The sequence below is a fragment of the Homo sapiens genome, chromosome 4, assembly GCF_000001405.40.
Source record: "Homo sapiens chromosome 4, GRCh38.p14 Primary Assembly".
NCBI classification, from domain to species: Eukaryota; Metazoa; Chordata; class Mammalia; order Primates; family Hominidae; genus Homo; species Homo sapiens.
In genome coordinates, this window is record NC_000004.12 from 2,899,073 (window position 1) to 2,925,802 (window position 26,730).

At 47.1% G+C, this 26,730-nt stretch overlaps 1 protein-coding gene across 24 annotated transcripts in view, besides 4 other annotated features; it reads left to right on the forward strand.

Annotated features, from left to right (window-relative positions):
* The window catches only part of ADD1 (adducin 1), an 86,219-nt gene that overhangs the window by 55,229 nt on the left and 4,260 nt on the right, over nt 1–26,730 (forward strand). For 8 of the 24 annotated variants that reach the window (NM_001354757.2, NM_001354754.2, NM_014190.4 and 5 more), the window contains 5 exons: nt 187–363; nt 5,692–5,943; nt 8,671–8,772; nt 9,443–9,532; nt 15,812–15,968. In NM_001354757.2, the coding sequence (NP_001341686.1) occupies nt 187–363; nt 5,692–5,943; nt 8,671–8,772; nt 9,443–9,532; nt 15,812–15,968 (778 nt within the window). Of the gene's footprint in view, nt 1–186; nt 364–5,691; nt 6,037–8,670; nt 8,773–9,442; nt 9,533–10,266; nt 10,360–15,811; nt 15,969–26,730 lie in introns of all 24 variants that reach the window. The other 16 variants (NM_001354762.2, NM_001354761.2, XM_047449580.1 and 13 more) reach the window with 3 other exon arrangements.
* Nucleotides 15,615–15,684: an enhancer, noted in NCBI's record as "active region_21198". NCBI's record gives its function as "activates an Ori minimal core promoter by ATAC-STARR-seq in GM12878 lymphoblastoid cells {active_cell/tissue: GM12878}" and the evidence as "EXISTENCE:reporter gene assay evidence [ECO:0000049][PMID:35858748]".
* Nucleotides 22,972–23,869: an enhancer, noted in NCBI's record as "OCT4-NANOG-H3K27ac-H3K4me1 hESC enhancer chr4:2923771-2924668 (GRCh37/hg19 assembly coordinates)". NCBI's record gives its function as "activates a minimal SCP1, AML or CMV promoter by ChIP-STARR-seq in naive H9 embryonic stem cells {active_cell/tissue: H9 hESC(naive)}" and the evidence as "EXISTENCE:reporter gene assay evidence [ECO:0000049][PMID:30033119]".
* Nucleotides 23,870–24,765: an enhancer, noted in NCBI's record as "OCT4-NANOG-H3K27ac-H3K4me1 hESC enhancer chr4:2924669-2925564 (GRCh37/hg19 assembly coordinates)". NCBI's record gives its function as "activates a minimal SCP1, AML or CMV promoter by ChIP-STARR-seq in naive H9 embryonic stem cells {active_cell/tissue: H9 hESC(naive)}" and the evidence as "EXISTENCE:reporter gene assay evidence [ECO:0000049][PMID:30033119]".
* Nucleotides 24,766–25,661: an enhancer, noted in NCBI's record as "NANOG-H3K27ac-H3K4me1 hESC enhancer chr4:2925565-2926460 (GRCh37/hg19 assembly coordinates)". NCBI's record gives its function as "activates a minimal SCP1, AML or CMV promoter by ChIP-STARR-seq in primed H9 embryonic stem cells {active_cell/tissue: H9 hESC(primed)}" and the evidence as "EXISTENCE:reporter gene assay evidence [ECO:0000049][PMID:30033119]".

Sequence of the window (26,730 nt, forward strand, 5' to 3'; positions counted from 1 at the left end):
TTTGTCATGCTAAAGAAATACTTCTGAAAGTAACTTTGTGATCAGTCTGTCACTATCCATTCTACATTTTTTATTCTTACACTCTAGAGATTTGGTTTCTTTTGAAACCTACATTTTTATTCAAGTCATCTGACCCTCTTGATCTCAGTAAGGAACTCAAGCCATGCTGTGTGTGTTTTGGAAAAGGTTCGAACTCTGGCCAGTGCAGGAGGACCAGACAACTTAGTCCTGCTGAATCCTGAGAAGTACAAAGCCAAGTCCCGTTCCCCAGGGTCTCCGGTAGGGGAAGGCACTGGATCGCCTCCCAAGTGGCAGATTGGTGAGCAGGAATTTGAAGCCCTCATGCGGATGCTCGATAATCTGGTAAGAATGGTGCCACCACTTGATGATAAACCTTTTGTTCTAAAAGCATCAGTGTTGGTGTTCTTACAGCAAGTGCGATTGCTGTCTTTTATGCAGTATCTGAATACCTTCACCTTCAAAGTCATGAAGAAGCACTAGGGTTGTTTAACTTCTGAGGTAAATTACAATAAAATGTAGAGGTGAAGGATTCCTGGTATTGTTTTATTTTTTAAAGATAACCTTGTGTTTGGACTCAGTGGGGACAAGAGCACAGAGAATGCGTAGGCAGCTGGATGACCAGCTGTGTCAGCTCAGTCCCCACCATCCCACAAGCAAGCGAGAGAGGTGGCACTTTTGAAATCGGTCAGTCAGGTATTTAGGCTTTTGTCTTAACAGCAAATCCTGGCTGTCTGGGGCCTGATGACTGTGTTCCATGGGTATCCACTCCCTGTCCACAGCGTGGGAGCCCCTCAGCTGCTTATTGCAGGGACACAGAGCCCGGCATGGTCCAGAAGGCGGGCTTATGGGGCCTGCAGCACACAGGGAAAGTGAGCCCACACTGTGATAGGAGGGCAGACACACAGGATGTGTTCTGTGTTACAGGGTTGCCGTGAAGAATTTCATTCTTTTGCAAGGACTGGAGAGAAAATTTTATGTGGAAGGTAGCCCTTGGAAATGACCTCAAAGAATAGGTAGGATCTTAGCCTGCGTTTGAAAGCCTGGAAAAAAACAGGATGACAGGATGAAGAGGCCACAGCACAGCTGCAGACAATGGGAGTGGGGAGATGGGAACATGCAACGTACGGTGCACCTTTCAGGTTCATCTTGACTTTACCAGGATCATTAAATACTCAGTTCTTAGAGCTGTATTAGAACACTGCCCTTGGGGTCTCAGTCCCGCAGCCACATCATCAGACACAGGGCTCTGGAACAGATCCCTTCCATGCTGCACATCAGACCTCTTAGATGGGGGTCACGATGGTCCGTCCTAACGCCACATGACCTCAAGTGGTGTAGATGTGAGGACATGTCAGTGTGGGGAAAGAAGGCCTCAGAGGGGCCAGTATCCTTGTATGCTGCCAGCCAGTACTGGACAAGTGGGCACGTTCCAGCCTAAGACAGGCGTGGCCCTTGGACCAGATCACAGATGAGATGGGTGGCTTCAGGAAGCAGGGTGGCTTCAGGAGGCAGGAAGTTTAACTTTCCTGAAGGTTTGGAATAAAAAGTATTCATAGGTCTGATTCAGGCTATGTTAAATGTTCTTACTGAAATTCTTTGCACTTGGGATGAATATTGTCCGCTAGAAAGGAGGAACTGAGGGTTTTCTGCCTGGGCGCGATAGTCAGTCAGTGGAGTAGACTCAATCAGTGACACAGGGACGAACAGAGAAGGCAGAGTCTAGCGTAACTTTTTGAGTTCATATAATCAGTGAGGTTGATTGCATTAATTGACTGTCTACTGTTGAGTCATGAACAGGACACAGTTCTTGCCCTCAGGAGTTTATGACCTAATAAGAGAGATGGACAAACGATTCCCAAATGAGCCCTGCCCCTGTGATCTGTGCAGTCATAGGCATGATGAGAGCTTGCAGGCAGAGGTGGGTGCCGATTGGTCAAGGAGGTAGGAAGAGGAGCAAAAGCTCATGAAGAAGGCTGAAGAAGCAGTTAGAGTTGGGTGGCCAGCCAGGGTAGTGAAGCTGCAGGGACTCATAGATGGAGAAAGCTTGAGAGTGGGGCAGCCATGGCCCAGGTGTGCGTCAGGAGCCAGGTCATCCAGCATGGCTGTGCAAGGTAAGGAGGGCTGAGGTTGGCCCAGTCACACAGCCCCTGCCTCCTGGTAAATACGGCGACATTTTGCTGCTCTTCTACTTACAGTCAGTGTGAGGGAGGAGAGAGGGGGGTCAGAATGCACAGCAGCCACCAAAGACTGTGCTGAAAGCACATCCTAGAAGGCGGAGAGGGGGAAGTCAAAATCAGGTAGAAACTCTGATTTGGTAGGGAAGGAAGATAAGGATGAATGATTAATAAGTAAAACATTCATTACAAAAAGCATGATGAATGTTTACTCAGTGTCCTTAATGTGTACAGATTGTTTTAATATTAGAAGGCCATATAGTTTATAAGAAATAAACTAGACAGCAATCACTAATCATAGTCCATGTTTTAATTTAGCATCGGGGTTGGCATATATGTTGTTTGCTAATAACTGAGTAGAGAATAGTTGCCAATTTCCACACTATAATATATGTTGCAGCCGAGCACAGTGGCTCACTCCTGTGATCCCAGCACTTCAGGAGGCTGAGGTGGGAGACCAGGAGCTTAAGACCAGCCTGGGCAACATAGCGAGATTCCTCTCCACAAAAAATAAAAAAATTTCAAAAAGAGAGATAATATTTCATTTGAACTTCTACAGTTAGAAAAAAAATGCTAAATTGTCCCCCCCCCAAAAAAAATCAAGATATAATTTCAGTTTCTCAAAGAAGGAACAAATCCATATATATTTTCTCTTTCTTTTTTTTTTTGGAGAGACAGGATGTCATCATGTTGCCTAGGCTGGTGTTGAACTCCTGGGCTGAAGCAGTCCTCCCACCTCAGCCTCCCAAAGTGCTAGGATTATGGGTGTAAACTACCACGCCTGACCCAAATCCATGTTTTTAACTACAAGCCAGATAGTAGTTCTGAGGTCTGAGTATTACTTCTGGTTTTGGTTTAACAGCATTTAAAGGGGAAGAATAAAGAAAAATCCATATGGTTTCAGGATAAAATGATGTTGATGAGTCCTGGGTGGTTTATTCTGAAGTTGTGGAGATTACTGAGTTCTGGCTCTTTAAGCAAAAGGAAACTTGAATTAATAAGAACTGTGTTTTTCTGCAGATAGTCTTTATGGCAGAGTCATTCTCTTTTATTATTCCTCAACAAAGCATGCTCAGAAATGGGAAAACTGCCAGTACACACATTTACCTTATCTTTCTGAGGACAATTATGAAAATAAAACCCAAAACAACTCCATTCATGATTGTTATTACCTTTTTAAAAAAATGTAGGCCGGTCACGATGGCTGATGCCTGTCATCCCAGCACTTTGGGAGGCCAAGGCAGGTGGATCACCTGAAGTCAGGAGTTCAAGACCAGCCTGGCCAACATGGTGAAACCCCTTCTCTACAAAAATTAGCCAGGTGTGGTGGAGGGTGCCTGTAATCCCAGCTACTCGGGAGGCTGAGGTAGAAGAAGCACTTGAACCCGGGAGGCAGAGGTTGCAGTGAGCCAAGGTCGAGCCACAGCACTTCAGCCTGGGTGACAGAGCAAGACTCCATCTCAAAAAAATAAAAGGAGGCCGGGCGTGGTGGCTCATATCTATAATCCCAGCACTTTGGGAGGCTGAGGCAGGTGGGTCATGAGGTCAGGAGATTGAGACCGTCCTGGCTAATACAGTGAAACTCCGTCTCTACTAAAAATGCAAAAAATTAGCCGGGTGTGGTGGCACGTGCCTGTGGTCCCAGCTATTCAGGAGGCTGAGGCAGGAGAATAGTGTGAACCTGGGAGGCGGAGGTTGCAGTGAGCCAAGATGGCGCCACTGCACTCCAGCCTGGGCAATGGAGTGAGACTCTGTCTCAAAAAAAAAAAATTAAATTAAAAAAATAAAAAAAATATTGAAAGAGTGATTAGTAATGAAGATGGCCCCCAAAAAAGAGCAGTACCCAGAGGGGAGAGAGAATTCTGAATTGAGAGGACTGTTTCTAGAGTACCACAGCCAGCAGGGCACAGGCCACTGAAGTGTCTTGTATGTCTGACCCTGTGCAGTCCCTCCAAGTCCTGATTCTCTTGTGATGTATTGTGAAGGTGCTGTGAGTGACTTGGTTCAGGTGCGAATCTGTTAGGTTGTTGAGCAGACAGCTCTTCAGCATCCCCCGTATTACCTCTCTGTGCTGGGCAACAAATCACTACAGGCCTGGTGGCTTCGAACAGCAGCCATTTATTTCCTAGCTTCTGTGGGGCAGGAGTCCAGGCACAGCGAACTCAACCTAGGGTCTCATAAAGGCTGCATTCAGGGTGTTGGCTAGGGCTGGGTTCTCATCAGGAGACTTGACTCAGAGGATCCACATCCAGGCTCTTCTAGACTGGGGACAGAATTCCTTTTCTTAGGGCTGAAGCATTCTTGGCAGCTTTACTTCTTCAGAGCCAGCAGTAGAGACAGAGACTCTTATAAGATAGGTGCTAAACTCTTCTGTGATACAGCCCATCATCACCTTTTGTGAATTCCGCTACTTAGAAGCAAGTCAGAGATCTCACCTGTGCTCAAGGTGGGAGGGGATTACAGGAGCTGGGGGCCTGGGGCCACTGTGAAGTCTGTCTGTCACACTTACCAAGTGTGGCCAGGAGAGATGCAGAGGACACCGTCCATGCCCTTAGAGATGCTGTCTGTGGGAGGACTCTGCAGATGAGTTGGTCCAGTAGAGGCATGAAGTAAGTGGGGCTGTCTTTTACCACAGAGCACATGGTCATGAGGCAGAGCTGGAGGTGAATTTGAATGTTGTTGTATTCAGACGTAAAGTAATTTTGCTGAGAACCAGTTGTCATGAGGTATACTTACTTACCTTACTTACCTAAAGATTATCACAGTATTTAAACTGTAACTTAAGAGGTAAAAGTCTATTAAGTATGTTGATGAATATAACCTGCACAGTGGCTGGCAGCAAGTAAACCCTGTTTGGGTGTTCAACTTTAATTTTTTGTTGAAATATGTAAGCAGGAGAGTGCACCTACCGCAAGTGTTCAGTTTGTTCATTTTTAAAAACTGAACCCCCTGTATAACCAGCAGTCAATAAGAGCAACGGTAGCAGCACCTCAGAACACCCCCAGCACCTCCTTCAGTTCACTTGTCCCATCCCAGGGGTGACAACTGTCCTGTCTCCCAGGACAACCAAAACAAAGGTTGTTTTGCATCTTCTGCACTTTTAATGAATGGTATTACATGGTGTATGTTCTTTGCAGGTTGGTCTCTTTCACTCAGCGTTGCCTTCAGGAGAGTCATCCACGTGGTTGGTTTAGAGCACATTGTGTCACTATAAGCCTTCTTATGAAGACACTAGACTATCCATCTCCTATATGGATGGACTTTTGGGTTGTTTCCAATTGTGGTTTACGAGGAGTAGGGTTGCTGTCCACATTTTAGTACCTGGTTTTTGGTGAACACATTTGCTTCTGTGGGGTGTAAAATTAGGAGTGGAATTACTGAGTCATAGGGTATGCATGTGTTCAACTTTTGTGGATGTTTCCACATGATTTTCCAAAGTGAAACCCTGTTTTGAGATCTGGAATATTGACTGTCTTTCACTCTCCTTGGACCCTAGGGCTACAGAACTGGCTACCCTTATCGATACCCTGCTCTGAGAGAGAAGTCTAAAAAATACAGCGATGTGGAGGTTCCTGCTAGTGTCACAGGTTACTCCTTTGCTAGTGACGGTGATTCGGGCACTTGCTCCCCACTCAGACACAGTTTTCAGAAGCAGCAGCGGGAGAAGACAAGATGGCTGAACTCTGGCCGGGGCGACGAAGCTTCCGAGGAAGGGCAGAATGGAAGCAGTCCCAAGTCGAAGACTAAGGTGTGGACGAACATTACACACGATCACGTGAAACCCTTGCTGCAGTCTCTCTCGTCCGGTGTCTGCGTGCCAAGCTGTATTACCAACTGCTTGGTCTGTGCCTACCTTACTGTTCATAGTTAGATGACGTAGAGCAAGTTGGGTAGCTGGGGCTTCGGAGGCTTTGGGAATCCAGCCTTTCTGACCCAGGTGTAAAGCGAACCTTCCTTATTCACTTTCTTGTAGTCTGAACCTAAGTCCACTGAATGCATTACTAAAATTCGGATAATACTATCTGCTTGAAACTGCTTAAGATGTAATGTAACTCCGCAGTAGTTCCAGTATATCTCCGTATATAGCAAAAATATACAATAATTTACATGTATTAACCTACAAATAGGAGCTCTTCTTATTTAATTCAAATTATATTCAGGGACTCTTAATACTTCATGCACAAAAAGACACTTCAGTCCTAAACCTGTATTTTAGTGTTGTGAACTCCAGTGGTTTCAAGTCACTAAAGTTTCTTAAGTCTTCAGTGTTTTCTTAAGCAGTTTTCCCTTGTGGCTCCCTGGCGTGTTCTCTGCTGACTCTTGTCCCCTGCCCTTAGTGTTATTCCCCTGCTTTCTATCCCAAAGCCTCCGAATGCACACCCCCAGCTGCCCTCTGCATGGACTGTTGCATGTGAGTAGACGGCCATAGTGGCGAGTCACCTTCTGACTCCTGTTGGGTGCGGCATGACCCAAGTGCAGCGCAGGCCATCTGCAGGCACCAGCGACAGACGCTGCAAGGGGTGCTTCGTTTCAGCGTTAATGCCGCTCAAGTTATCGTTTGTCCTGAGAGGTGCTCCCATGTCGTGGTGCTGAGACCTCCTCTGAAGATGGGTCTTTATTCCTCCTGTAACCTACCTCTAACAGTCCACCCAGCTCTGCTTTAAACTGTATGTAGAAGAGGCCCATTTCCAGAAGCCCCTGGAATGGAGGAGACAGGGGCTGAAGCAGACTCATCTGTGCATGACTAGTTCATTAGGAGTTCAGTTGAAATTAGATTAGATGCTCCTAAAACCATGGGCAACCAAATACATAAAGTGGGGCTTTCTTTTCCCCTTGTAACAGTGTTTTACTTTATAGATTTATTTAAAGAAAAAAAGTTTTATCTTCCCCAGGTGGTCCTGGTGTTTTCCTGACGCAGTTGGTGAGAAGCCTCCGTGCTCCTGAGCGGCCGCGTCACCTGGGCAGGGACCCTGTGTGGCCATGGGGCTCTGAGCATGGGAGTGCGTCTCTCCTCTTCTTTCCTGCCCTCCTTGTCTTCTTTCCCCCCTTCTTCCTGTCTCCCCTTTTCTTTCATTTGTTTATTTTTTACTTGTTTCACTTGTTAAAGGAAGTGGGCGTTATAAAACAAAAAAAAAAAACCCCAAAACACCTTTCTGCGGCTGATGTGAAGCACAGTGCTGAATTGCCATGAGGAAGTTTTCCAAAGCGTTTAGGCAGCAGCGCGAGCTTTATTTACCATTAGCTTGCAAAACAACTAAGTCACTTTAGGCCTAGTAGTCAATGTGTACATCCAAGGGGAGGCCTTGCTCCGCATTTATATTTGTTTCTTACTGTTCTGGAGTGACAGAGTCCATGCAGTGCTCCCAGGTTGGTATCTTTTCATTTATAATGATTGCTGTTACTTTTTCAAATGTGTTCAAGTTTCTGAGGTTGCTGTTTGAAATGCTTTGACTAAAAATTATTTTTAATAAAACGCTGGAGTTGTTTTTATCTGAGAAGATAACCATCAGTGAGTACCCAGAGCTCCATGCCCATTCCACACTCTCCTCGCAGTGGCTCAGCATTTGCTGGTTTTGTTGCTTTTTTTAAAGTCGTATGGTTTATGGCTATCTTATTGCCTCTCGAAAGTATTCTGAAAGGCATAACATTTGCTCTCGAAGATGGGCTTGTTTTAATGTTCAGTGCCTACTCATGCCTTAGAATTTGATTAAAAATCTCAGATTTGATTGGAGATCCAAAAAAAAATTATGGGTGGAAGGCTCAGCATGCTGACGAGATGCACTGATACTAAAACAGCCTTTAAATATTAAGGACTCATGAAGCGCTTCAAGTTTGTTTGGGATATTTTTGTAGCACTCAAAAATATTAAGTTATATAAAATATTCGACATCACCAAACTCTTCTTCCAGGTAGCTACCGTGTAAGTGTCCATACAGTAATGTTCTTGGGTTGAAAGTTACGCAGACAGTGCATTCTGATGCTGTCATTTACTTTAATGCAAAACTTTGGTGATGCCCACTCTTGCCTCACGGTGCAGGCTCCTCCCTAACCCTGGGTAGCAGCATCACATTGCTTTTCATGACCCTGTCATCTCATGCTTCCAGTTGGCTTTGGTGTTGGATGATTTTCAGAGCAGTGAACCAATGGTCTCTGAGGGGCCTCCCCTGCTGGTCCCAGGGTTATGGGGCTCAGCTCTGTCGTCAGCCTACCTTATGACCCAGATTCAGCTGGGCTTTCCAGATGGTGGTTTTCCATCAGTCATGACTTTGACTTCCAGCATTAACTGGTCTTTATGTGGCTGCATCCTGCTCCCATGGCGACTCTGCTGAGTGACCCAGATTAGATGTGGTCATTGGTTCAGTCCTCTCTGTGATGTTCAGTGCATGACCAGATGTGAGATAAACTGAATAGATTGGATGCTATGTCACTTATTGTTGTCATAATTCTGACTTTTCAACTGTTCTTGATATTACAGTGGACTAAAGAGGATGGACATAGAACTTCCACCTCTGCTGTCCCTAACCTGTTTGTTCCATTGAACACTAACCCAAAAGAGGTCCAGGAGATGAGGAACAAGGTGCGTCCTGCGTCGGCACTCAGCGGGGGCTTGGGTGTGGGATTGGAAGGGATGCCAGCTGCTTTGGGGGGAGCGGGTGCTTGCTTCTAGCAGAGGGCATCTGCTGTTGTTGCCACTGTTGCAGTGAAGCCATCTCTTCACACCGCTGCTGTTCTACCACCAGTGTGAAGTATGAGCAGCAGACATTTTTTGGGCCCTATTGATTCTTGAACTGATGTTTGCTCACGATGTTTGCTCACCGGTCAGAATTGGAAGCTGCAAAACCTGTTCTTAGCAAGAGCAGACTGCTGTCCCTTTCAGGGTTCGTTCAAAGACTTGTGAGTGGCATTTGGTGTATCAGAGCAGGAGCCCTGCCAGTGCTCACATCACTAGACGATGGACATGCAGCGAGTGTTTCCCCCAAGTTAATGACAGTGAGAGATAGGTGTCCTGCCCAAGCATCTGGAAGATGTGGGGAGCTGGGAATAGTCTCCATCCCTGCAGACCCACGCCCCACTAAGCAGGCATGGCGGTCACTCAGAACACATGGGGCCATCCTGCCTGCGTGGGGCAGTGGGAGAGCTGAAATGTAGCTTCCATGTGGCTGGGGCCCAAGTGCACAAGCAGCAGGGCTCCCAGGCAGCATGGCTGCTCAGGACTGTTGATGTGTGCCTCTCCTTCCCACCCTCAGATCCGAGAGCAGAATTTACAGGACATTAAGACGGCTGGCCCTCAGTCCCAGGTTTTGTGTGGTGTAGTGATGGACAGGAGCCTCGTCCAGGTGAGAGCCCAGAGTGTCTCTGACTTTAGTGGGTGGTGGCTGTGTGACCGCCTGCTCCAAAGTTATTCTGAAATTGAGAGAGTGACTTTATGAGGTAAGTATTCTAGGCAACCAGTTACCTTTGTTAAAACCTTCATGATGAGAAACGGTTCAGGCACTTTTCGTTGAGTTCTAGAAGGAGCGAGCATGCTGAGGGCTGTGTCCACCCCTCTGGTCATGCCCCTTGTAATGCATGCATATGTGAGGGTGGCACATACACCACCAGCTTTGGGGCTCAGATTCGGCCCGGGTTCAGCAGCGTTCTGTGTAAGGCGCTAGGAGAGGGTGGGTTTAGGGACTCTTGTTCTGGTACATATTGCTGTCTGCAACAAAGTGCTGCTTGGGTTGCAGAGGGGTGGGTGCCTGTAAGTGTGGTGCACATTTACACACATTTCTACAAAATGACTCTACCTTGTGGCACATTGAAGATAATTGTGTAAGTAGTTATCTCTGAAAACTAATATGCCACCTAATGCTTTAACACCTGACTCTGCAGGGGTAGACGATTGTTGGATTTGTCCAGCCGTGGTCCTGGTTTCGTGTTCAGTGTCTGCACGTCCTGCCATCATCACTGCCACACTTACTGTTGACAGCTGTCCCTGCTGCATGCTCTTAGCCAGCTCCATCCTGTGCTCTCAGCTGATATTTCACAGGCTGGGCCTGGTGTGCTCTGGTGACTCAGTTTACTGTTTCAGGATGCACCTCTCTCTGACTGTACGGAAACTATCGAAGGGCTCGAGCTTACAGAGCAGACCTTTAGTCCCGCTAAATCTCTCTCTTTTAGAAAGGTACTCACTGCCCTGTCCTCACTACCTGTCTATGCGCCTTGCTCCCCTCCCCTCCCCCCTCCCCGTCTCCTCTCTTCAGGCATTGTCTTAGTTACTGAAGTAGCTTCAAATGGATCTTTAACCTGTTTGTGAGATTGTACAGAAGGTTCTGTTCTACCTACTTGATTCTTTAATTAAAACATTTGCTATGAGGTGTGATAACAATTTCCAGCATTCGAAGTTGTTACTGAGAAATGGCCAGTCTGAGCAACGTGGTGCATTTCTGCAGTTCCGCACGGGACTTTGGTCAGTGCGTGTTTTGGGTTTCAGAATTTGCCTTTTCCATGACTCTGACTGCAGACAGCCTCTTCTGGGCAGTCTGTTGCTGTTGGCAGCGGCCACTCCCGAGTGCCCTTCCACCCTCGCTGGTTCAACTTTGACTGTAAATGTCATGAATGTAGCCACTAGAGGTCATATCATTGAAAGATGTCATTTCAGAGGAATGGGAATTCAGACAGTCTTTGTCAGCCCTTGATAAAATGTATTTATTTGTACCTCAAAAAAAAAAAAAAAAACCCTAAATAACATTTTTAAATGCCACAGAGGAGAAAGACTTAGGAGAGTCTGAAACCCCTCACTGTGATTCCCTCTGTGTGCGGGCATCTAGTATGTGGAGTAGGTGGAAGATCTGTCTGAACCCACCCACGTAGAAGGAAATCCTCCCTAAGAATCTAGGCTGCTAGTGTGCAGGAGTTGGTGCCACGCAGAAAGGGGCTGACCGCATGGTTGAAGAGTCTTAGCTGAGAGGTATGTTTATATTCTTGTCAAAGGAAATTTCCAGAACTGTCTCTTTCACTTGTCACACCTTCATTGAGATGCATGTGTCACTTTAGTGGTGTTCCAGTTCCCACATAGAAGCAGGTTTATAGCAAAGATTCTGTATTCCTGTCTGTAATCCCTGCTAATAACATTATTTTGCATATTTACTTATTAATTCCACAGGTCCTGTTTTTCCCTGTGCTTAGAGCATCCTTCCAGCTGCCATTCTTGGAAGAGCTTCTCAGAGCAGGGGAGAAAGATGACTCTGCCTGTTGCTTGTTTTTCATCTTTTGGCACTTTGTTGCGGTCTTGTCAGTTATTCTTTCTCTCAGGTGTGTGAGGGCTGTGCAGGCCATGAGCCCAGCTGGCCTCCTGTGTAGAGCCCACGTGAGGGCAGCACTGAGGACCTTGTTAGGGCTCTCCAGAAAGCAGCCTGGGTCGCCGTGTTCAACCACCAGTTACAGCTTTGTGTGCTCTGTCCCAGTGATATTCAGATGTGGGTGTGTGTCACTGTCACCTGGGGGCTTCCTGAACGATAGAGGTAGGGTCCGTACCTTCTGAACACCATGCTCACTGCGAGTGCTGCATCCAGGTGTCATTAGCAGAGAATACCACTGTACGCTGACCCCAGAGGAAGAGAGCTTGACCACCTGGACAGAAATCCTTGTTCCACCTTTGTGTTTTCTCTACCTCCTTATATCTGAAGTTTACTTTTGCACCCTTGATCTTTATCCCACTCTGGCTAAAATATCCCTCTTTTTGGTGAGAATGTGCTTTGGCTCCATGGGAGTCCTTTACTGGGCAATTGTTCCACTTCCTTTCATGTGAACCTCAAAGCACAGACAGTCTTGCTCCTTTTGGAACATGGAGCTGCATGTTGAGAAGTTGAGTTTTTCCTTGACCAAGCAAGGACGACTGTGTCCCACACACTCCCCTCCCCAGTGAGGCGAGTGCGTGGATGCCTGCTTCCCATCTGAGAACCTGAAGAATGGGTATTTGGGACTTAGGGAGCTGGGGCTTTTCTGGAAAGGACTTTCCTTTGCCTTCCATTTCTCCCTCACTGGTGATGGCCATTCCCACAGTGCAAGTGTTGCCTTCTGATAGAAGAAGGAACAGTAATCACAGTTCAAACAGGAGTTCGCAGCCCAGCCGAAGGCTGTGTTGACTTTGTTTTGGGCAGCATAACATGTAACCTGAAATACATATATATATATATATATTTTTTTTTTTTTTTTGAGACAGGGTCTCACTCTGTTGTCCAGGCTGGAGTGTGGTCGGGCTGTCTTGGCCCACTGCAACCTCCGCCTCCCGGGCTCAAGCAGTCCTCCCTCCTCCCATCTCAGCCTCCTGAGTAGCTGGGACTACAGGTGCACATCACCACACCTGGCTAAATTTTTGTATTTTTTTGTAGAGACTGGGTTCCGCCACGTTGCCCAGGCTGGTCTCAAACTCCTGAGCTCAAGCAGTCCACCTGACTCAGCCTCCCAAAATGCTGGGATTATAGGGTGTGAGCCACCGCGCCTGGCATAACCTGAAATAATTTTGGCTGCCCTCTGGATTCAATTGCAAGTGAAATGAAGGATTAGAGATGAAGATGTGAGTCTACACTGCAAGCTATTCAGCCCAGGGAAGGACTCTTGTGTTCCCATGTGCACCTCACCAGGGGCTGTGTTCTCCAACACCCTTCATGCTGTGTGGTAGAAATGCAGAGGGGCAGTAAGCTCACCCCTTGGACTCTCTCAGTGACCTGTGTTGAGCACCTAACCTGTGCATGGTCCAGCACTGGGAATGCCAGTCCAGATCCAAGTTGGCCCTGCTCGTAGATGAAAATCTGATGGTCAGAGAGGTCAGCCGCTAGTGCAGGTTGCACAGCCTCGGGTGGAGCTCTTGTTCCACCCAGGTTGCCTCAGTCAAGTATGGAAAGTTACTGGGCCTGTGTTTTGCTTTAGAGGCTTGTCAAGTGACAGGGAGGTGAGGGGAGTGGCAGGAGGGGAAGCTAGGCACATCTTGGTTTCTTGTCTGGGTTGTCCATGAGTGGCGTATGTTTCTCTGCATCTCAGTCATTGCTCTGTGTCCTTTCTTGCAGAGGAATGTGATTCTCTGTTCCCATAACTGGTCTTGACAGCAGCTTAACCCTTAGCTGTGGTCTGTGGAGGAGGGAGCTCTCCACCACTGGGGACCTGCTGCGCTGTGCCTCGGGCTTCAGCTGTCTCAGTATGAGAGAGCCCCGCTTGTCCTTTGGGGCATCAAAATTGGGAACAAGGGTTTTGATGTCTCTGTGCCAATGGATTTTTATTTGTATTTTTATTTTTATTTTGAGACAGCATCTTACTCTGGCCCATGCTGGAGTGCAGTAGTGCAATCACAGCTCACTGCAGCCTCGACCTCTCAGGCCAAAAGAATCCTCCCACCTCAGCCTCCTCAGCAGCTGGGACTACAGGTGCATGCCACCATGCTTGGCTAATTTTTAAATTTTTTGTAGAGACAAGGTCTCACTATGTTGCCCAGGCTGGTCTCGAACTCCTGGGCTCAAGCAATCCTTCTGCCTTGGCCTCCCAAAGTGCTGGGATTATAAGCATGAGCTGTGGTGCCTGGCTGATAGTTTATTCTTTGTTTGTTTGTTTGTTTTGTTTGAGACGGAGTCTTGCTCTGTTGCCCAGGTTGGAGTGCAGTGGCGCAATCTCGGCTCACCTCAACCTCCGCCTCCCACGTTCAGGTGATTCCTTTGCCTCAGCTTCCCGAGTACCTGGGATTACAGATGCCCACTACCACGCCTGGTTAATTTTTTTTGTATTTTTAGTAGAGACAGGTTTTCGCTGTGTTGGCCAGGGTGGTCTTGAACTCCTGACCTCAGGTGATCCACCCGCCTCAGCTTCCCAAAGTGCTGGGATTACAGGTGTGAGCCACCATGCCTGGCCTGATAGTTGATTCTTGATATTTGATTCCTTTACTAATTTTAACCACTTGATTTAAATGAACTTAAGCATTTCTCTTGTATCACCTTCTCATTTCATTGGCAGTGATATCAGGATGCAGGTGCAGCCAGCCAAACTGCTGTTGCTGGGATACCATCTCTAGAGTGCCATCATGTGAGGGCTCTTAGCAGTGGCCAGCCCAGCAGCTCCTCCTTCAGATAGTGAGGCAGGCCTCTGGTCAGGGAAAGACTTGGCTCGGGCCACAGCGCTAAGACATGGCAGACAGGACTCAGCTTCCTGTCTTGGTGAGGCAGGGCAACTTCTTAACGAAAAGCCAATGGGCCTCGAGTCAGACCTGGTTCAGAAGAGGGTTCCCTTTGACTTGTTGACTGTCGAGAGTCTCCAGGCTCCCGGGCAAAGGTTGCCTGTTCCAGCAGCCCATCTGTCCCTCTCGGAGCTCTGTGTCACTGGTCAGCACTGGGTACGCAGCATGCTAGGTGGTAACCCCTCAGCCCATCCCAGTCAGTCCAAGTTCCCCTGTCTCTGCTTGAGGAGCGGTCGGCCTGTGTGAGTTGAATTTCCCGAGTCAGCCCAGCTAGGACGCTCTCCATCTCTGGTGTTCACTCCGCACTGAGAGCAGCACTGAAGGACCAGGCCTGGCATCCAAAGAATTGTGGTTTCTCCTGTTTCTATTTGGTTTTGGAAGCTGTCAGTCATGTGCATGTGTGTAAGTGCTGGATAACTGTCTTAGAAGTGAGCTCCAGGGTAGCCGGGCGTGGTGGCGGGCGCCTGTAGTCCCAGCTACTCGGGAGGCTGAGGCAGGAGAATGGAGTGAACCTGGGAGGTGGAGCTTGCAGCGAGCCGAGATTGCGCCACTACACTCCAGCCTGGGTGACAGTGCGAGACTCCGTCTCAAAAAAAAAAAAAAAGAAGTGAGCTCCAGGGAATTAGGGGACATTTTCCTGCCCCTGACCCAATCAGGCTGCACTGTGGGCACAGCGCTGTGCTGGGGCAGGTGGCTGTGAGTGGACCGCACCCCCTGATGCCCACCCAGCCCACTGTGCTGGCCTGCAGGCTCCACCTCCTGCTTTAAGATTGGTGTGGTCTGTGAGCCGCCTTGGTGCTTCGCTTTCTTCTTTTTTTCTTTGGTACAAATTTTCAGAGTTTTCCAAATTCCTCAGCTAAACACTGGTGTCTTGGGGCATGTTGTCATCTCGGAATGTTTTGGGATAAGCTCCAGGAACTAGTTACAAACTAACCACAGTCAAAAGAACAGAACTTACCTGTGCTCTTAGAATATGAGCAAAGCTCTGAGCATGCCTTACGCTGAGTGCTGTACCTCGTGACAGTTTCTGATGTCATGAGGAAAACTTACTGACTTTTAAACAGTAACAGGAAAGGGCCTCTTCCCCTTCTGCTCCACAGTGAGGAGTGGGCACCCTCCCTGAGGTGCTCTGTGCTCTTGGGTCTGCATTGGGCTTTTGCTTCTGAAACCTGGAAGGCTCTGTAGGATTTCTTTTGTGGTTAATATCTGTTCATCGTGGCACTGACCTGTGTTTCCATTATATACCACTGAAGGCTGCAGCTCAGCCTAGGCCTCGGGCCCATGGCAGTGCAGTCTCAGGGGTCTCTGCTCCTGGAAAGCCTCCTGCCCCCGCCCTGCCTGCAGCCTGCCTGGGAGGAGGGAGAGTCCCCATCGGGCCGGGCTCCTGCAGACCAGATGTGCCTTTCATCCACAGGGAGAGCTGGTGACGGCCTCCAAGGCCATCATTGAAAAGGAGTACCAGCCCCACGTCATTGTGAGCACCACGGGCCCCAACCCCTTCACCACACTCACAGACCGTGAGCTGGAGGAGTACCGCAGGGAGGTGGAGAGGAAGCAGAAGGGCTCTGAAGGTGAGTGCTTGTGGTCCTGGGCACGGCCACTCCAGAAGGTGAAAGTGCTCTGGGAGCTTCTTTGTGGTCCAGGTGCTGGCTGTGGGTGGTGATAAGAATAGTCACATGCATCAAAGACAAACCAGAACTTTATCCAGTACTCATTTCCAACCTAGTCACTCAGGCCAGAATGGAAGAAATTGCTGGCCGGGCACAGTGGTTCATGCCTTTAATCCAGCACTTTGGGAGGCCAAGGAGGGCGGATGACCTGAGGTCGGGAGTTCGAGACCAACCTGACCAACATGGAGAAACCCCATCTCTACCAAAAATACAAAATTAGGCTGGGCATGGTGGCTCACGCCTATAATCCCAGCACTTTGGGAGGCCGAGGCGGGCGGATCACGAGGTCAGGAGATCGAGACCATCCTGGCTAATACGATGAAACGCCGTCTCTAGGAAAATAGAAAAAAAATTAGCCGGATGTGGTGGCAGGCACCTGTAGTCCCAGCTACTTGGGAGGCTGAGGCAGGAGAATGGCGTGAACGTGGAAGGCAGGGCTTTCAGTGAGCCGAGATTGCACCACGGCACTCCAGCCTGGGCGACAGAGTGAGACTCTGTCTCAAAATAAATACATAAATACATACAAATACAAAATTAGCCAGGTGTAGTGGCGCATGCCTGTAATCCCAGCTACTCGGGAAGGCTGAGTCAGGAGAATCGCTTGAACCCGGGGGGCGGAGGTTGCGGTGAGCCGAGATCGTGCCATTGCACTCTAGCCTGGGCATCTCAAAAAAAAAGAAATTGCAAAGTTAGGCACACTTGTGAGTGGCCCTGGCTAGGAGGGAGACGTGTGTAAATGACGATGTGGAGGACTAGTGGTGGCCACTCACAAGAGTCTGCGCGCCATACTAAGACACACCGGGGCCCCTCTGCCAAAACGAGGCTGACCCCGAAGATGTCCTGCCGTGGTCCCATCCAGCAGCTGTGATGAGAGGAGACAGCAGGACCGAGGGGCAACCCACAGAACTCTGGGCTGGAGGGCATTGGTCCTTCTCCCAGGGAGGTTTCTGTCCACATGGAGTGACCAGACATTCACAAAAGAATTCACTAATTTGGATCAGTTAGTGGGAAAGCCAGCATGCATATTATTATTATTATTATTATTATTATTATTATTATTATTATTATTATTTTTGAGATGAAGTCTTGCTCTGTCGCCAGGCTGGAGTGCAGTGGCACGATCTCAGCTCACTGCAATCTCCGCCTCCTGGGTTCAAGCAATTCTCCTGCCTCAGCCTCCCGAGTAGCTGGGACTACAGGCATGCACCACCATGCCCAGCTAATTTTTGTATTTTTAGTAGAGATGGGGTTTCACCATGTTGGCCAGGACGGTCTCAATGTCTTGAACTCGTGATCCGCCCGCCTTGGCCTCCCAAAGTGCTGTCATTACAGGTGTGAGCCACTGCGCCCGGCCCTGAATATTATTTTTAAGAGACTTTTGTCTCTCTCTCTCTTTTTTTTAAATTAATTATACTTTAAGTTTTGGGATACATGTACAGAACGTGCAGGTTTGTTACATAGGTATACACGTGCCGTGGTGGTGGCACATGTATGGGTGGCACCCATCATCTACATTAGGTATTTCTCCTGATGCTATCCTTCCCCTAGCCCCACACCCCTGACAGGCCCTGGTGTGTGATGTCCCCTTCCCTGTGTCCATGTGTTCTAATTGTTCAATCCCCACTTATGAGTGAGAACATGCAGTGTTTGGTTTTCTGTTCCTGTGTTAGTTTGCTGAGAATGATGGTTTCCAGCTTCATCCATATCCCTGCAAAGGACATGAACTCATCCTTTTTTATGATTGCATAGTATTCCATGGTGTATATGTGCCACATTTTCTTTGTCCAGTCTATCATTGCTGGGCATTTGAGTTGTTTCCAACTCTTTCGTATTGTGCATAGTGGTGCAGTACACATATGTGTGCATGTGTCTTTATCATAGAATGTTTATAATCCTTTGGTTATATACCCAGTAACGGGATTGCTGGGTCAAATGGTATTTCTGGTTTTAGATTCTTGAGGAATCGCCACACTGCCTTCCACAATGGTTGAACTAATTTACACTCCCACCAACAGTGTAAAAGTGTTCCTATTTCTCCACATCCTCTCCAGCTTCTGTTGTTTCCTCGCTTTTTAATGATCGCCACTGTAACTGGTGTGAGATGGTATCTCATTGTGGTTTTGATTTGCATTTCTCTAATGACCAGTGATGATGAGCTTTTTTTTCATGTTTGTTGGCTACATAAATGTCTTCTTTTGAGAAGTGTCTGTTTATATCCTTCGTCTGCTTTTTGATGGCATTGTTTTTTTCTTGTAAACTTGTTTAAGTTCCTTGTAGATCGTGGATATGAGCCCTTTGTCAGATGGATAGATTGCAAAAATTTTCTCCCATTCTGTAGATTCCCTTTTCATTCTGATGATAGTTTCTTCTGGTGTGCAGAAGCTCTTTAGTTTAATTAGATCCCATTTGTCAGTTTTGGCTTTTGTTGCCATTGCTTTTGGTGTTTTAGTCATGAAGTCTTTGCCCATGCCTATGTCCTGAATGGTATTGCCTAGGTTTTCTTCTAGGATTTTTATGGTTTTAGGTCTTATGTTTAACCCCTCTTGAGTTAATTTTTGTATGAGGTGTAAGGAAGGGGTCCAGTTTCAGTTTTATGCATATGGCTATCCAGTTTTCCTAACACCATTTATTAAATAGGGAATCCTTTTCCCATTCCTTGTTTTTGTCCAGTTTGTCAAAGATCAGATGGTTGTAGATGTCTGGCATTATTTCTGAGGCCTCTGTTCTGTTCCGTTGGTCTCTATATCTGTTTTGGTACCAGTACCGTGCTGTTTTGGTTACTGTAGCCTTGTAGTATAGTTTGAAGTCAGGTAGTGTGATGCCTACAGCTTTGTTCTTTTTGCTTAGGATTGTCTTGGCCATACGGGCTCTTTTTTGGTTCCATATGAAATTTGAAGTAGTTTTTTCTAATTCTGTGAAGAAAGTCAGTGGTAGCTTGATGGGCATAGCATTGAATCTATAAATTACTTTGGGCAGTATGGCCGTTTTCACAATACTGATTCTTTGTATCCATGAGCATGGAATGTTTTTCTATTTGTTTGTGTCCTATTTCGCTGAGCAGTGGTTTGTAGTTCTCCTCGAAGAGGTCTTTCACATCCCTTGTAAGTTGTATTCCCAGGTATTTTATTCTCTTTGTAGCAATTGTGAATGGGAGTTCACTCATGATTTGACTCTTTGTCAATTATTGGTGTGTAGGAATGCTTGTGATTTTTGCAGTTGATTTTGTATCTTGAGACTTTGCTGAAGTTGCTTATCAGCTTAAGGAGATTTTGGGCTGAGATGATGGGGTTTTCCAAATATACAATCATGTCATCTGAAAACAGAGACAATTTGACTTCCTCTCTTCCTATTTGAATACACTATATTTTTTTCTCTTGCCTGATTGCCGTGGCCAGAACTTCTAATAGTATGTTGAATACGAGTGGTGAGAGAGGGCATCCTTGTCTTGTGCCAGTTTTCAAAGGGAATGCTTCCAGCCTTTGCCCATTCAGTATGATATTGGCTGTGGGTTTGTCATAAATAGCTCTTATTATTTTGAGATACATTCCATCAATACCTAGTTTATTGAGAGTTTTTAGCATGAAGGGGTGTTGAATTTTATTGAAGGCTTTTTCTGCGTCTATTGAGATAATCATGTGGTTTTTGTCATTGGTTCTATTTATACGATGGATTACGTTTATTGATTTGCATATGGTTTTTTTGTTATTTGGTTTTTTTTTTTTTCTTTCCTGAGACGGAGTCTCCCTCTGTCACCCAAGCTAGAGTGCAGTGGTGCAATCTTGGTTCACTGCAACCTCCACCTCCTGTGTTCAAGCCTCAGCCTCCTGAGTACTTGAGACTACAGACACACGCCACCACACCCGGTTAATTTTTGTATTTTTATTAGAGGCGGGGTTTCACCATGTTGGCCAGGATGGTCTCGATCTCCTGACCTTGTGATCCACCTGCCTCAGCCTCCCAAACTACTGGGATTACAGGTGTGAGCCACCGCACCTGGTTGATTTGCATATGTTGAACCAGCCTTGCATCCCAGGGATGAAGCCAACTTGATCGTGGTGGATAAGCTTTTTGATGTGCTGCTGGATTCGGTTTGCCAGTATTTCATTGAGGATTTTTGCATTGATGTTCATCAGGGATATTGGCCTGAAATTTTCTTTTTTTGTTGTGTCTCTGCCAGGTTTTGGTATCAGGATGATGCTGGCCTCATACAATGAGTTAGGGAGGAGTCCCTCTTTTTCTATTGTTTGTAATAGTTTCAGATGGAATGGTACCTACCAGCTCCTTTCTGTACCTCTGGTAGAATCTGGCTGTGAATCCGTCTGGTCCTGGGCTTTTTTTGGTTGGTAGGCTATTTATTACTACCTCAATATCAGAGCTTGTTACTGGTCTATTCAGGGGTTTGACTTCCTCCTGGTTTAGTCTTGGGAGGGTGTATGTATCCAGGAATTTATCCATTTCTTCTAGATTTTCTAGTTTATTTGCGTAGAAGTGTTCATAGTATTCTCTGATGGTAGTTCGTATTTCTGTGGGATCAGTGGTGATCTCCCCTTTATCATTTTTTATTGTGTCTATTTGATTCTTCTCTCTTTTCTTTTTTATTAGTCTGGCTAAATGGTCTATCTATTTTATCAATCTTTAAAAAAAACCAGCTCCTGGATTCATTGATTTTTTTTTGAAGGCTTTTTTGTGTCTCTCTCCTTCAGTTCTGCACTCGTCTTAGTTATTTCTTGTCTTCTGCTAGCTTTTGAATTTGTTTGCTCTTTCTTCTCTAATTCTTTTAATTATGATGTTAGGATGTCTATTTTAGATCTTTCCCTCTTTCTCCTGTGGGCATTTAGTGCTATAAATTTCCCTCTAAACACTGCTTTAGCTGTGTCCCAGAGATTCTGGTACGCTTTGTCTTTGTTCTCATTGTTTTCAAAGAACTTATTTATTTCTGCGTGAATTTTGTTATTTACCCAGTAGTCATTTAGGAGTAGGCTATTCAGTTTCCATGTAGTTACGCAGTTTTGAGTGAGTTTCTTAATCCTGAGTTCTAATTTAATTGCACTGTGGTCTGAGAGACTGTTTGTTATGATTTCCATTCTCTTGCTGAGGAGTGTTTTACTTCCAATTAGGTGGTCAATTTTAGAATAAGTGCGATGTGGTGCTGAGAAGAATGTATATTCTGTTGATTTGGGGTGGAGAGTTCTGTAGATGTCTGTTAGGTCCGCATGGTCCAGAGCTGAGTTCAAGTCCTGAATATCTTTGTTAATTTTCTGTCTCGTTGATCTAATATTGAAAGTGGGATGTTAAAATTTCTCACTATTATTGTGTGGGAGTCTGAGTCTGTTTGTAGGTCTCTAAGAACTTGCTTTATGAATCTGGGTGCTCCTGTATTGGGTGCTTGTATATTTAAGATAGTTAGTTCTTGTTGTTGCATTGATCCCTTTACCATTATGTAATGCCCTGCTTTGTCTTTTTAAATTTTTGTTGGCTTAAAGTCTGTTTTATTAGAGACTAGGATTGCAACTCCTGCTTTTTTTTTTTTTTGCTTTTCTTTTGCTTGGTAAATATTCTTCTATCCCTTTATTTTGAGCCAGTGCATATCTTCGCATGTGAGACAGGTCTCCTGAATACAGCACAGTGACAGGTCTTGACTCTTTATCCAGTTTGCCAGTCTGTGTCTTTTAATTGGGGCATTTTGCCCATTTACATTTAAGGTTAATATTGCTATGTGTGAATTTGATCCTGTCATTATGATGCTGGCTGGTTATTTTGCCTGTTAACTGATGCAGTTTCTTCATAGTGTCGATGGTCTTTACAATTTGGTATGTTTTTGCAGTGGGTGGAACTGGTTTTTGCTCTCCATATTTAGTGCTTGCTTCAGGTGCTATTGTAAGGCAGGCCTGGTGGTGAGAAAATCTCTCAGCATTTGCTTGTCTGTAAAGGAGTTTATTTCTCCTTCACTTACGAAGCTTAGTTTGGCTGGATATGAAATTCTGGGCTGAAAATTCTTTTTTTTTTGAGACGGAGTCTTGCTCTGTCACCCAGGCTGGAGTGCAGTGGCGTGATCTCGGCTCACTGCAAGCTCCGCCTCCAGGGTTCACACCATTCTCCTGCCTCAGCCTCCCCAGCAGCTGGGACTACAGGTGCACGCCAGCATGCCCAGCTAATTTTTTTGTATTTTTAGTAGAGATGGGGTTTCACCATGTTAGCCAGGATGGTCTCGATCTCTTGTCCTCATGATCTGCCCGCCTCAGCCTCCCAAAGTGCTGGGATTACAGGCGTGAGCCACTGCACCCGGCCGAAAATTCTTTTCTTTAAGAATGTTGAATATTGGCCCCCACTCTCTTCTGGCTTGTAGGGTTTCTGCAGAGAGATCTGCTGTTAGTCTGATGGGCTTCCCTTTGTGGGTAACCCAACCTTTCTCTCTGGCTGCCCTTAACATTTTTTCCTTCATTTCAACCTTGGTGAATCTGATGATTATGTGTCTTGGGGTTGCTCTTCTTGAGGAGTATCTCTGTGGTGTTTCTGTATTTCGTGAATTTGAATGTTGGCCTGTCTTGCTAGGTTGGGGAAGTTCTCCTGGATAATATCCTGAAGAGTGTTTTCCACCTTGGTTTCATTCTGCCTGTCACTTTCAGGCACACCAATCAAATGTAGCTTTGGTCTTTTCACATAGTCCCATATTTCTTGGAGGCTTTGTTCATTCCTTTTCATTCTTTTTTCTTTTAATCTTTACACTTTATTTCATTAAGTTGATCTTCAATCTCTGATATATCCTTTCTTCTGCTTGATTGATTTGGCTATTGATGCTTGTGTATGCCTCACGAAGTTCTCATGCTGTGTTTTTCAGCTCCATCAGATCATTTATGTTCTTCTCTACACTGGTTATTCTAGTTGGCAATTCCTCTAATCTTTTTTCAAGGTTCTTAGCCTCCTTGCATTGGGTTAGAACATGCTCCTTTAGCTCAGAGGAGTTTGTTATTACCCACCTTCTGAAGTCTACTTCTGTCAGTTCATCAAACTCATTCTCTGTCCAGTTTTGTTCCCTTGCTGGTGAGGAGTTGTGATCCTTTGGAGGAGAAGAGGCATTCTGGTTTTTGGAAATTTCAGCCTTTTTGCACTGGTTTTTCCTCGTCTTTGTGGATTTATCTACGTTTGGTCCTTGATGTTGGTGACCTTCAGATGGCGTTTTCATGTGGATGTCCTTTTTGTTGATGTTGATGCTATCCCTTTCTGTTTGTTAGTTTTCCTTCTAACAGACAGGCTCCTCTGCTGCAGGTCTGTTGGAGTTTGCTGGAGGTCGACTCCAGGCCCTGTTTGCCTGGGTATCACCAGCAGAGGCTGCAGAACAGCAAAGATCGCTGCCTGTTCCTTCCTCTGGAAGTTTCGTCCCAGAGGGGCACCTGCCAGATGCCAGCTGGAGCTCTCCTATATGAGGTGTCTGTTGACCCCTGCCGGGAGGTGTCTCCCAGTCAGGAGGCACAGGGGTCAGGGACCCACTTGAGTTGGCTGTCTGTCCCTCAGCAGAGCTTGAGTGCTGTGCTGGGAGATCCACCGCTCTCTTCAGAGCCAGCAGGTAGTAACTTCAGTCTGCTGAAGTTGTGCCCACAGCCAACCCTTCCCCCAGGTGCTCTGTCCCAGGGAGATGGGACTTTTATCTATAAGCCCCTGACTGGGGCTGCTGCCTTTCTTTCAGAGATGCCCCGCCCAGGGAGGAGGAATCTAGAGAGGCAGTCTGGCTACAGTGGCTTTGCATAGCTGCGGTGGGCTCTGCCCAGTGTGAACTTCCTGGCAGCTTTGTTTACACTGTGAGGGGAAAATGGCCTACTCAAGCCTCAGTAATGGTGGATGCCCCTCCCCCCACCAAGCTCCAGCATCCCAGGTCGACTTCAGACTGCTGTGCTGGCAGCAAGAATTTCAAGCCAGTGGATCTTAGCTTGCTGGGCTCCATGGGGGTGGGATCTGCTGAGCAAGACCACTTGGCTCCCTGGCTTCAGCCCCCTTTCCAGGGGTGTGAAGGGTTCTGTCTTGCTGGCATTCCAGGCGCCACTGGGGTATCAGAAAAAACTCCTGCAGCTAGCTCAGTGTCTGCCGAAACGGCTGCCCAGTTTTGTGCTTGAAACCCAGGGTCCTGGTGTCATGGGCAGCCAAGGGAATTTCCTGGTCTGTGGATTGCGAAGACCGTGGGAAAAGCGTAGTATTTGAGCTGGAATGCACTGTTTCTCAAGCCACAGTCCCTCATGGCTTCCCTTGGCTAGATGAGGGAGTTCCCCGACTCCTTGCACTTCCTGGGTGAGGCAACACCCCACCCTGCTTTGGCTCGCCCTCCGTGGGCTGCACCCACTGTCTAACCAGTCCCAGGGAGATGAGCCAGGTACCTCAGTTGGAAATGCAGAAATCATCCACCTTCTGCGTTGATCTCACTGGGAGCTGCAGATCGGAGCTGTTCCTATTCGGCCATGTTGCCTGTCACCCTGACATTTGTCTCTTTACGAACACAGTATTTCTGTCTGTTGAAGCTTCACCGGGGAGAGACCTCCTTTACTCAGTTTGATTCATTAACACTCAGCATTGCTGAGCAGTCATTGTGCCGGGCACATGCCCAGTGCTATTGTGCGTACATCTCATCTCATTCTCAAAGTAACCCTGAGAGATAGGTCATTTTCCCCCGGCTGGAGCAGAGGAATAGGGAGCTCAGACAGGGCGGCTCGCGAGAACGAGGTTGTGCGTGGCCGAGCCCTGATTTGGACAGAAGCGCACTGCCTTCCTCACTGAGTCTTTGGTCACAGCAGTCAGCCCCGGCCTCTGTGCAGGGGGACGCTCTGAACGTCCTTACTGTGCTTGTGTGTAGGGCTTGGGGTTTCTGACAGAAATTCTCTTTCTCCATAAACCTTGAGGGTTTCCTGTGCAGGTGTGGTCACAGGCCGGAGGGTGAAAATGCTGACTGCCCTGGCATGTGCCCAGGTCCCATCAGGAATGGCTGGTGCAGCCTGTACTTCTCTTGGTAGCCCGCTGACAAAGGCGGTCTTGTTTTTGTCAAAGATGGGGCAGTCTTAAAATGAATACAAATAAGCGGCTCAAGTTTGAGACCCTCACGGAGCAGGTGGTTTCAAATGTCAGGCTTTGAAAAGGAAATGTTGAGAACTAATGAGAGAAGCAGGTCTCCAAAGCCTATTCCTTGAGGGCTTTTGGGCATCAGCTGCTTTTCCCCCAAGCTCCCTGCTGCCAGCTCTCTTGTCCACTAGGCTCTGAGCAGCCTTGGTGCTGGCACCAAGAAGAACCAGGGGCACAGGGACCCCTGCCAGGAGGCTCCCGCCAGCATCCTCAGGGCCGTAAGCTCCAACTCAGGTTTTTACTGAAACCTCAGTGTGCTTCTCAGTCCTCCGGGGTCAGCCTTGCTGGAGCCACCTTGTTGTGTGGGACTGACTGTTGCTCTCCTGGGCCGTCGTCATCCTGGGAGCTAGGCACTCCTCCTAAGAGGACCTCTTCACCGGTTTTTGTCTCGTTCTAGACCAGCCACTGCATTACGTAGTTGTGACTGAAATTTGAGTTGCTGAATTGTTTTTCAGTGTCACACCGCTATTTACTATTCAGGCCGCCACACACACCAGGCCCTGCTGCTGGTTGTCTCCCTCCAGTGAAGCTTTGTCTGAGCCATTGCTGTAATTACCTGCCTTAGAGCGAGAACTGGAGGTAGTCAGCTTGAGCTGTGGGTCATGTGGCCTCCTCCTAGTTTCTGTGCACATGTACACAGACATGTGTCTGCCCTTTGGAGTCTCCTGGGATCTGAGTAACCTGGATTGTTTTTAAAAACAAGTCAAACAAGATATGTGGAGTTTCCCCCCGATGTGTGAGGCTCCTTCAGCAGGGCTGTGATGGCAGCTGAGTGGATGGGGACAGGCTCTGGCCGTGCTCTGTGATCACAGAGCTGTCAGCAGGAGAACCCACAGGAGGTCTGATCTGGCCCTTGGCATGGGCTGAGGGGAGAATGTGCCACAGGTAAAATGCAGGCTGGCTGCCAGAGGTCAGCACCTTTTCCCGGTTGAGGCTGTATGCTCACTCAGCTAGGTGGTATGGCGGCCTTTTTATGGACACCTGGCTTCTGGAAGGTAGCTGCCAACGTGGTACTTGGGGAGGCGAGCCAGCTGTTAGGGTGGGAGCAGAGGCCCTGGGAGCTCAGAAGGATGATGATAGCTGCTGGTTCAAAATACGGACCTGCTGATCCTAAGCTATTAATCTTAAACTTCTGAAATAAAGACAGAGATGGAAGGAGTTAGAATAGTGCTGGTCCATATTTTCCCCGAAATGAGAAGTAGACTTGGAATCCTTTTCTATATCCAGGATCCTAGTTCCTGCATTTTTTCCTCTGGTTCTTATTAGCATTTTTCACTTTAAAAAGTAAAAATACGTATTACAGTTGCCAAGTTTAAATTATTGGGATAAAATGCCCTACCACAGAATTAAAACCAAAATAATGCTCATGTGATGTCCCTTAAGGTGGTGAGTGGGTTCAGGACCCTCAGCCACCTGCTCAGCAGGGAGAAGGCAGGGAGGGAGGGGTCCCTACTCGCACAGGACAGCGGGGGACAGGCCAGGGCATACCATTCGAGTCCATCACAGAAGTGGCTCTGGCAGACTCTCTTTGGAATAAGAATAGAAATAAGTTTTGTATCTG